At 52.1% G+C, this 10,610-nt stretch overlaps 1 protein-coding gene across 15 annotated transcripts in view, besides 2 other annotated features; it reads left to right on the top strand.

Moving 5' to 3' along the window:
- The window catches only part of DGKD (diacylglycerol kinase delta), a 117,605-nt gene extending 110,422 nt beyond the window's left edge, over positions 1-7,183 (top strand). For 13 of the 15 annotated variants that reach the window (NM_152879.3, XM_017005138.3, XM_011512028.4 and 10 more), the window contains 3 exons: positions 2,171-2,288; positions 3,508-3,638; positions 4,456-7,183. In NM_152879.3, the coding sequence (NP_690618.2) occupies positions 2,171-2,288; positions 3,508-3,638; positions 4,456-4,545 (339 nt within the window). In that variant the 3' untranslated portion in view covers positions 4,546-7,183. The remainder of the gene's footprint in view (positions 1-2,170; positions 2,289-3,507; positions 3,639-4,455) is intronic. The other 2 variants (XM_047446097.1, XM_011512029.4) reach the window with 1 other exon arrangement.
- Positions 3,004-3,219: a silencer, noted in NCBI's record as "fragment chr2:234376565-234376780 (GRCh37/hg19 assembly coordinates)". NCBI's record gives its function as "represses an EF-1alpha promoter that drives an FKBP-Casp9 reporter gene in an ReSE screen in HepG2 liver carcinoma cells {active_cell/tissue: HepG2}" and the evidence as "EXISTENCE:reporter gene assay evidence [ECO:0000049][PMID:32094911]".
- Positions 8,942-9,541: an enhancer, noted in NCBI's record as "H3K27ac-H3K4me1 hESC enhancer chr2:234382503-234383102 (GRCh37/hg19 assembly coordinates)". NCBI's record gives its function as "activates a minimal SCP1, AML or CMV promoter by ChIP-STARR-seq in primed H9 embryonic stem cells {active_cell/tissue: H9 hESC(primed)}" and the evidence as "EXISTENCE:reporter gene assay evidence [ECO:0000049][PMID:30033119]".

The raw sequence follows: 10,610 nt of genomic DNA on the forward strand, positions 1-10,610 counted from the left end.
TGGGCAGTACAGTTGCAGAAGGCAAATAACTGCAAGACGCCAAACCTGGGCACCCCTGCCCAGTGGGGTTTGTGAGACCTGTGGGCAGCAGTAAGGCGAGGGGACAGAGGTGGGCAGCTGCACAACAGCACCCTCTTTCCGGGGCCCTGGGGCGTTTTTTGACGCATGCAATCCTTTCATGGGAAACTGACTCAGGCACTCCAGCCGATGGATGAAACTCAGCAGCTTCTCAGTGAGGGCACTTGGGTATAAAAGGACAGGGCAAGCTCCTCAAAATCCATTAAATAATTCATTGTAAAGGTGATTAAGAAATTTTACCCAAAATTACAAAAATAATAATATACAATGATTCAACAGATGTCACAGTGACATAGCCCTATAATACCAGATTAAATTAAGGCCAGTAAAGTGGGCAGTGAGGTGAGAGGCTGGGAAGAGGACATGGACGGGGGGAGGAAAGCATGTTAAATTCCTCCTCTTACAGTGGAAGAACGTTACAAACAACATTCTTGACTTTCATACTTGGAGAAATACAGAGTCAATAATGTTTTTAGGGTCAAGAGTGGTGGCTCGCACCTGTAATCCCAGCACTTTGGAAGGCCAAGGTGGGAGGATCACGTTAGCCGAGGAGTTCAAGACCAGGCTCGGCAACATAGTGAGACCCTGTCTCTATTAAAAAAAAATTTTTTTTTAAACTTAAAGGTAATTTCTAATAGAGCTGAAAAGATTTATATCTTCCAAATTGCCACCAAGGACAAAAATAAAATACAATTTATATTGTAAAAGAAAGTAAAGGACCAGCAAGGGTATCGCTAACAGCATGAAAATAAGATAACAGAAAAATGACATGGCTTTCTCTTAAAAGTAAATTCTTAGGTTGTGTTTTAAAAGAAACCTAACCATATATTGCTCACAAGAGCCCTGTTTTTTTTTCTCATACTCCTAATAAAAATTTATGATACAGAAAGATTAATAATAATTAAAACACCATAAAAAATCCAAAGTAACAATATAAAAATAAAATTGCATATGTAAGACAATAAATGATAAAAAGAGGATCACTTTACATTGGTAAAATACAATAATTGTTATGTATAGTCATCAACTTATGACAGTTATAATAGTCACGAAACTGTGCCAAATAATAAGCATCTAAATTAGCTGTTCAAGACTATGTTTTTTATTCCCTAACTTCATTTTACTGTGCTCCAAGCAATGGTCTGTATGTTACTAGTCCTTTGAAATGTACTGAGGTGAGACTTGCCCAATAGGTGGTTTTTGTAAATGTATCTTGTATGCAGTTGTGTTTACATCATTAAGTTCCTACTGAAATTTTTTTTGTCTTCTTGATAGATCAGTTAACTCTAATACCATAATTGTAGATGTCTCAGTTTATCTTTGTGGTTATGTGTATTTTTGCTTCATGTATTTTGAGGCTATGTTATTGGGTACCCATAGGTTTTATCATTATATAATGATCCTTTTATCTTTAGTAATTCTTTTTATCTTCAAGTCTACTTGCTTGCTATATTTTTTCATAGTTTTACTTTCAAGCTTTATTTGGAGTGTCTCTTATAAAGAGTGCATCACAGAGTGAGGCAGTGTTACCTCCGTGCATCTCAGGGAGTGCTGTGTGGAGAGGCTGCCGCCGCCGATGGCTGTCAAGAGCAGAGGCCGAGCCTCTGTGTGGCTCCGCTCTTCACCCTTCCTCTGCTCTTCTGCCTCAGGGAGTGGATCGCAAGGAAAGAATGCAAAGTGCAGGAGAGTTTTCATTAGACAGATACTCGTAATACTAAGAATCAAAGCCCAGCAATCCAACACTAGAAGATTGGCTAAAGAGGTTATTTTAATAATTTTTGTTTAGATACTGATATTTATGATATTTTCAAAAAGTTTTTAAATCTCATGAGAAACGCACATGTAAAGTGAAGGAAGTAGAATATGATAAAAATAGACACTATGATCACTTTGAAACCACTTTAACACTCACTAAAATCAACACTAAATACAAGAATCAATAAGGGAGAGAAGCCCTTTCAGGCACAAGAGGTCTTTCCCAGCTCCCGCTCATCTCAGCCCTGCCTGCCCTCCCAGCCTCTCTGGTGGAGATGGGCATGAGGCCGTGATCAGTTGCAGCCTGATTCTCAGTATTCCTCATTCTCCCCAACAGAGTGTGATGCTGGATCTTGCCAAGCGCAGTCGCAGTGGTAAATTCCGCCTCGTGACCAAGTTTAAAAAGGAGAAAAACAACAAGAACAAAGAAGCTCACAGTAGCCTGGGAGCCCCGGGTACCTGCCTCTCTCCCGCGTGTGTTTCTGGCCGTCCACGCCTGCTGGATCGGCCCCGTTCCCCTGGTCTCTGCTTTCTCCCTTGGCCTTGCAGCTCCTCCCTCTTGGTCCCTGTGCTGTAACCCCCGGTCCTGCGACCACACTTGTCTGTTGGTAGCTGCAGCCCTCCACCCTGCCTGCTTCCCCTCTGACCGTTGTCACACCCGGCCCTGACGTGCTCTCTGGCTTTCTGCCTGCCCTGAGTTGGGGGATTCGAGGTGGGGAGGAAGACAGCAGTAGAGTGGTGACAAGACAAACTTGGAGACACAAAGCTCTGGACTCAGGCCGTGCTGGGGCATGCCCTGCCTGCTCCCTCCTGGGCTGCTGGTTCCTGATAAATTGATGCATTGGTCGAGGTTCCTGTGCTGGGAAGCCCAGGCCACCAGAGATTGTGGGTGATGAAATCAATCGAATATGGTCCTGAAGGACATTGTTCCTTTGGGTCAGTAAATTGGAGCTAAACTCTCTGTCTGAAGGATCAGCCCTGAATACCCAGGCCATATCCAGTGCTGTCAGGGGCTGGAGAGGCCTCCAAGCCTGGATATTGGGACTGGTGTTTGCCGCCAGTCAGGGCAGCTCCTGTGGGTTTTTCTTCTTTGCATGTTTGTCCAGAAATGGGGTTTCTGTTAATAATGGTGGCTCTGACTATGTGAATTGAAATCTCTGCTCGTTTCCTTTCCTGCTATGGTCCAGAAGTGAAATTTAACCCTTCTAGAAGCTGGAGGAAAAGCTGGCTTTGGCCACAATCATGAGGACATTTCCCTCATATTTGGTGGTGGTAAATCCCTCCTGGGACACGGGGAAATGACCAGAGGCTGGCGGCCCACCTGGCAGGAACAGATGCCAGCTCTGCTGCAGCCATCGCCCCTTGAGCGGGTGGCTCTGTGCCTCTTTCTGCACTGCTGGTGGGTGGTGCTGTTGGCTGGGTGATGGATACCGGCTGCCAGAGATGGCTCAGGTGCCAGCTGCTGGGCTATCTCAGGCACTGGCTGCTGGGCTATCTCGGGTGCCGGCTGCTGGGCTATCTCAGGCGCTGGCTGCTGCTGGGCTGTCTCGGGTGCTGGCTGTTGGGACGTCTCCTGTCCTGGCACTGGGCTCTCGGGTGCTGGGTGCCAGCTGCTGCCTACCTTGCACTGGGCTCTGGGCACTCACTGCACTCGTGCTTTTCCATCTCCGACAGTTCACCTCTGGGGGACAGAGGAGGTTGCTGCCTGGCTGGAGCACCTCAGTCTCTGTGAGTATAAGGACATCTTCACACGGCACGACATCCGGGGCTCTGAGCTCCTGCACCTGGAGCGGAGGGACCTCAAGGTACTTCCATAGGCGTCTCCCTGGAACCTGCACTTGGGCTTGCACGCAGCTCCCTTCTCTTCCATCCTCTCCCCCGACCTGGCCATGTCCCAGCATCACGATTCTTCTCAGGCTTTCGTGTATACCTCAGGTGGGGGCGGCTGTGGCCCTCATCTAGGCAGTGATGGCTCCACCCACCACAACCAGAGGAAGCCAGGAGCAGACATAATGGGGGGCAGAGCCTTGGTTATCTTAGGCTACTCAGACAAGGACTGTCTTCGTGTTAAAAACACTATGAGGGGACACAGACCCTGAAGCACAGTCACACACGACTGTCCCCATGCTGCTCCTGGGCGGGTGCTGCCACTCGTCTGCAGGGAGCATTGGGAGGGGTGGTTGGGTGCCAGGCCTCGGTCTATGCCAGGCCTCACGCCACATCTTGCAGGCCCATGCCCCTGCCCAGGTTGGCCTCAACGGGCCAACCCCTGGGTGTTGAATCACTGGCTGAGTCCCGAGAGGGCAAAAGGCCACTGTGGGTGTCCTGGACAGTGGCTCTCATGAGGTCACTTGTCATCCACTTGCTTTTAGGCCTGTGTTTTGTCTTTGTCTTGGATTTGTCCTTGCTGATGGTAGTGACTAGAATGCAGGAACAATGGGCCAGGCATCTGTATGGTTGTTACTTTTAAGCTGTTTCCATCTTGTTTTACCGTTTTTGTCATTTTGGCTCTCATTTGTGTTCACAAGCCGAATGGGAAGGGCCGTTGTGGCAGGCCTGCTGTGGAGCCCTCTGGCCCTGGCTGTCTTCTCGGCATCCATGGCGGTGTCTTCTCTGTTGCAGGACCTGGGCGTGACCAAGGTGGGCCACATGAAGAGGATCCTGTGTGGCATCAAGGAGCTGAGCCGCAGCGCCCCCGCCGTCGAGGCCTAGCCTCTGTCCTCTCAGCCTGTGGCCTCCACATCCCCGCCGCCGAGGCCTAGCCTCCGCCCTCTCAGCCTGTGGCCTCTGCGCCTCCTGCCACTGAGGCCCTGGGCAGATGCTGCAGCCCGCCCCCTTCTCATGGTGCTACTTCCTCTGTCAGCTACAGAAAGCCTCCGTGACACCGTCCACCAGAGCTCTGGGGTCTCGAACATAACAACACAGCTACCTTTGAAACAACACTTTCTCCAGCTCAGAGTCACCTGGGGCACATGTGTCACGGCCACTCAGCTCTCGCCCGCCTGTGCTGTGGGCCAGGGAATCCAGCGGCGTCTGGCCTCCTGGGCACTGCTTGCCTGGCCTCGTGCTTGGATTGTCCCGGGGGCTCCTCTCCGTGTGTCCTTCTGTGGCCGCACCGTGTGGCTCCGCCTCCTGGCCCCCAGCCAGTTCTCAGAAACGTGGCTGGGGCCCAGCACAGCAGCCTGCAAGGGCCCCTGTTTGTTGATGCAGCTTTTGTTGAACAAAAATCGTGCTCTTTCCTGGTTTGAAAGTAGCATGGATGTTTCCAGTCTTGTTGATTGTAATTTGACGTGAAGAGAAAAAAAAATTCCTCCTGCGTGAGCCAAGGCAGCGGGTGCTGTTTCCCAGGCGGGGAGCCCCTCCCTGGGTGTCACAGGGCCTGTGCTCCTCCCTCCTCCATCCTCTCTCCTCCCGCTCCTCCCTCCCCCCACTGTGGGCTGGGGACGCCTGCCCTTCTGTCTCCGGACGCTCTAGGCGAGTTCAGCTTGGGGTGTGAGTGAGACAGCTTGCCAGCTGCATCCCTGCAGACAGAGGATGTGTGTCCACATGAGTGTTTCTGTGTGGGAAATGCTTCCTGGCTCTGGGAAACTTTTTCTGCCCATTCTGTGGTTCCCAGGGAGCGTGGCCCTGGTGGGCCAGGGGTGGTTTGACCTCTTCAGCCCGTCCGGTGGCCTGGAGGCCGGAGGCTCTCCTGAGTGTCTGCCCCTGCAGTGGCTTCTTGTCGCCTGCTGCTGGGCGTGATGTCGCTGGAGGTGCTGGCAGGGACTCTGATTTGGTGGTCCGCGCTGCCCCTGCCCTGCCTCTGTCCTGGCTCTGAACTAGTAGATGATGGTGCCAGAGGGCAGGGAGCTCGCCTGGGGAGAGGGCTGTGCCCCGTAGGGACAGTGCCCAGGTGAAGGATGCCCCTGGTCCTCCAGGGCACTGACTTTGCCCTTTTTTCCCGTTGATAGTCATGGCTCAGAGGTGCTTGTAAATGTCTTGGGAAGAGGTTTCTGTAACCCCTGCCCTGGTGTGAGGAGGAAATGGCTCTGGCCTGGCTGCCTGGCCGTGGCTTCTCTTTGGCTCCCAAAGAGAAGGACAGTGTTGGGAGTATCTGCCGTGGCTTCTCTTTGGCTCCCAAAGAGAAGGACAGTGTTGGGAGTATCTGCCGGCGCTGTCCAGGTCCTTTAGTCAGCGTCACTCCATCTGATGTGCAGAAGCTGGGCTGCACCTGCGGGGGTGGGCATAGACCGGGCTGGGTCTGCAGCAGCCCCTGGTCCTGAGCAGGCGGCAGTGAACAGCACTGGCCCACCTCCCACTCACAGCCCCTCTGTCCCCTCTGCAGTGCACCCAGGTGGGCCCCTCTGCGTGCCTTTGGGTGCTCCCCTCTCGTGGTCGTTCTGGCCCGAGGCCCTTAGAGTATGGAGGCTGAGCCAGGCCTTGGGTTTCCCCAGCACAGCCTCCTGTCGCTGCATGCGACGTGTTGGGATTTTTGGATGAAAGACTCTCCCACGCTCTGTTGGTGGACTTAGCTGCCTCACTGGAAGTGATGTGGGTGGAAGGTGGTTGTATGTTACCTTTTCCACCTCTCATTGTTTTCCCCAGAACATTGTAGATGGGGGTTGGCAGAGGGAGAAATAAGCCAGCCACGGCAGTCGCTTGGTTTCCCAGGTGGAATGGGCTAACACAGGAGATGATGGGAACCTGTCCCGCAGTCCCTGCATGACCATTGGCCCTGCTGGCCTGGCGATGTGGGCATCCTGGGGTTCTTAGGGTCCCAGAACAAGCCCCAGGCAAGCTGGAACTTGGGTGGGGAGGGGACATGAGGAGGATAAACAGCTGACTGTGGCTTCAAGGACATCAGGGCCACCCCAAGTCCTCAGTGTCCTACTCCTGGCAAGGAGTTGGGTTTGGATCAAAAGTGTTTAAAATTAATATGTTGTCAGTGATTAGAACAACACTGTTTACATAAAAACCATTTTTCTAATTCTAACAAGTTAGAATGTGAGGAAGGAATGAACATGAGTGTTTAGGAACCTGCCCTTTGGTGCTGGGCTGGCGTCCCGCACTGGGGTGTCCTCGCTGTCTGGGGGCTGCTCTGCTGCCCCGGCCCAGGTCCCCTTGTGGTGTTGCCAGACGGGCCTCATGGTCTGCTGTGCAGAGAGAGGCAGGAAGGATCCCTGAAGAGTCTTGGAGAAAAGGTTCTGTGCCCTCAGGTGGGGCTTACCCCCTCGTATTTATAATCTTAATTTATATAGTGACCACCGTGGAAACAAACGCCTCTTGTATTGTCATGTACATAGTCCATACCTGAGTGCTGTACATAAGTTGTTCTGTGTATAAATAAAACAAGCCTGTTTTTGATCTTCCATCGCCAGAGTCTTTGTCATCATTCCTTGTGCTTTGACATAAAGTGTTGGTTGCCGGAATCTTTCCAAACTGGATTCAGAATTGTTTTTCACCTGCTCTGAAAATAGGTTGAGTTGTTGGTGGCTAAAAAGCAAAACAGAATGCCATTAGCATGCCATCAGAATGCCGTTAGAATGCCATTAGAATGCTGTTGTATTTTTTAGGGTGTGGGTTCTGTGATCAGTTGGACTAAAAATTCCGCAAGGAGAGAGAGGGTACTGGGCAGTGCTGAGGCTCTCAGGTGTGACCACACAGCCTTGGCCCGGGAGAATGAGGGCCATTTTAACGAATATTTTAACCCTCTTAAATCTTTTCTATAAAACTGCAAACCTGAAGCTCTCCGACTTCTCTGCTTTGTCTTGGTACTTTTATTTCCAAGGGAACTGTCTACGATCAAGGCCACTTGAATTGTCTTCCCCAGTTTCCTGGAGTGAGGGATGGGGACTGCATTCATGGAAGACACCATCAGGCTGGTCGGGTACAGAAGGGCTGCATGTGCTCCGGGAGTGTTGGCTGCCTCCCTAGCAGCTCTTCCTCACTCCTTCCATGGTAACAAACCCCCCCGTTTTTTTTTTTCTGGTGTATATTCTCCTCTCTGGCCATTCAGGACTTCAGGCCTCATGGTTGCAAGATGGCCACCACAGCTCCAGGCATCACACCAGTGTAAGGTGTTTGGGGACAAATGGCTGCCTCTTTTATGTGTCACCTGCTCTTTTTGTTGTTGTTGTTGAAGATGAGGTCTTGCTCTGTCTTCTGGTCTGGAGTACTGTGGCATAATCGTAGATCACTGCAGCCTCCAAATCCTGGACTCAAGTGATCCTCCCACCTCAGCCTCCCTTGTAGCGGAGAGTACAGGTGCATGACAACATACCCAGCTAGTTTGTAAAATTTTTTGTAGAGACTGGGTCTCGCTTGCTTCCTAGGCTGGTTTTGAACTCCTGGCGTTAAGCGATCCTATGTGTGTCTCTTTTTAAGATAAAGGGAGCCCTTTCCGAAGCTCTGGCTTCAGCCGACCTCCTCTAATGTCTTGGCTAGAACTGCCTCACGCACTCATGACTAAACCAATCAGTGCGAAGGGTACGAGCTATTACGGTGATCGGGATGCTGACGGCTGACACTTTATAATTTGTGCCAGGTGTTGGTCTAAGTACCTTGAATGTACGAACTCCTCTAATTCCCCTCACAGCCTTACATGGTGGGTTATCTGCATTTTACAGGCGAGGGACAGGCTCAGAGAGGCGACACAACTTGCCCCATGAGGCACAGCCAGCGCGTGGCTGACATGGGAGGCAGAGGGCATATCTTTTCGACAGCCGTGCTCTCCCGTGTCCCAAGCCTCATAGCAAGCCCAGCCCACAAGACAGGTGAGGAAATTGGGCCCAAGTGACAGGCATGCTTTCCAGCACAGCAGCCGGGGCGCCTCACGTGCTGGGGGCACCAGATGCCCGGGCAGGGGCAGACCTGGGGGGAGGCTGGTGTGCGCTTTGCCAGCCTCACTCCTGTGCCCGCGTGGCTCATCTCACACGGGGCATGGCTCCATTGTGTGGGAAAGCAGTGAGGAGGGGGCTTCTCACAGAGACAGCATCTGACAGCGTGGGGAGGCCGGGCAGCGATCTAGAGTGGACGGGGCTGCAAGTGTAGCATGATCGCGAGACGGGACAGTAGAGTTGAGTGGAGAAAATGCAGCAGGGTCTATACTGTTTTTAAACTGATCCTCTTCAGAATTCCCCAACCACTTAGAAAAACAAACTGGGTGCTTGGTCCAGTAATGTTAACTGAACCCTGGATTTGTGGCCTCTGTTGTTTGCCAGAAGAGTTTTGCTGTGGTCCCCCCACCCCTTTGTGCCCTGGCTCCAGGTGGGCTCACGCGCGTTCCTTGGCTGTAGGTTACTGGACCCCACCCAGAGCTCTTAGACCTGGGCTAGGAGTGGGTGCAACTCGGAGTCGCCCCTCTGGGGTGGGGGCGGTGTGGCTGGGAGGGAGGTGCAACAGCCACACCAACACGAGGGTGCTGCCATCTTTGAAGCACATGCGTGTGAAGGACATGGGCACCTGGAAGCTCTGGGCAATGCACCTTCCCCTCTCCCCCGACTGTCATTCCATGGAGCCCACGGACATCACCCACTTAGGGCCCAGGGCTTTCACTGGTTTGTAGAAAGAGGCACTTGGTGGCTGCCTCGTGTGATGGAGCTGCTGGTGGCGTCTCGGCACCTGGGGAGGTGCCTGCGGAGACAGAACCACCTCAGAGCAGCACACTGGGGCGTGGCAGAGGCACCACTGTCCCCTGAGCACTCGTCTGGCCCCGCCCCAGCCTGGTGTGAGCTCATTGGTGGTCTCTTGTTTCCTGAGCCGGGAGATTGCCGTGTCTGCTCCTGCCACCCCAAGTCGGGGCAAGGACCTGCAGATGAAGGGCCCTGTCTGCCACACTCTGCAGCCATTGCCACAGGGACCTGGACGCATGGCAGCACGTGGGCGTGTGTGGTGGGAGTGGGGGAGGGCAGCGGCCAGAGGGAGCTGGAAGCAGTCTCTCTTTACTTGGATACTGAGGTCACCGCTTCACCCAGAATGCGTTTGTTATGGATTTTATTGAACCCTGGTATGGCCATGCTTTGGGTGGGTGCGTTATCCAGAACAGAACAGAATGATGGACCTGTAGGGTGAAGGGGCTGTTGTAAGTTGGTCCCTCACTGTTAAGTCTGTTCTGCAGGTTAAACTCACATCGATGGCGCCAAAATGATTTGCAAGGGAATTCTTGCCCCTCCCTTTTTTGGCTAGAAAAAGTCACTGTTGAATAAGTATGTTTTCTGTGACGACACCACCATTACGTATTTCCATAGAAGGAAAATAAAACCAGATTGATTACATCCAGTTTCTTCCAGTGCATTTTTCCCATGAGTCTGAACTTTTTAAAACCAAAGCAAACTTGTTATTTCTAAAGCAGCACTGCTGCAGTATTTCTAAATATAAACTGTTTATTTAGCATCTGAAGCAGGCTTGGGAAAAAGGGCCACAAACGTTCCTTATTTTATTTATGTATTTTTTTTGAGACGGAGTCTCGCTCTGTCACCCAGGCTGGAGTGCAGTGGCACGATCTTGGCGCACTGCAACCTCTGCTTCCTGGGTTCAGACGATTCTCCTGCCTCAGCCTCCCGAGTGGCTGGGACTACAGGCGCCCGCCACCATGCCCAGATAATTTTTTGTACTTTTAGGAGAGACAGGGTTTCACCATGTCAGCCAGGCTGGTTTTACACTCCTGACCTCAAATGATCCACCCGCCTTGGCCTCCCAAAGTGCTGGGATTACAGGCGTGAGCCACCGCGCCCGGCCAAAAGTTCCTCTCTTAAGCAAGCTGGGCACGAAGTAGCCGGCAACCAAAAGCAGCTAAGGGC

This window comes from Homo sapiens, chromosome 2, assembly GCF_000001405.40.
Source record: "Homo sapiens chromosome 2, GRCh38.p14 Primary Assembly".
Lineage (NCBI taxonomy): Eukaryota > Metazoa > Chordata > Mammalia > Primates > Hominidae > Homo > Homo sapiens.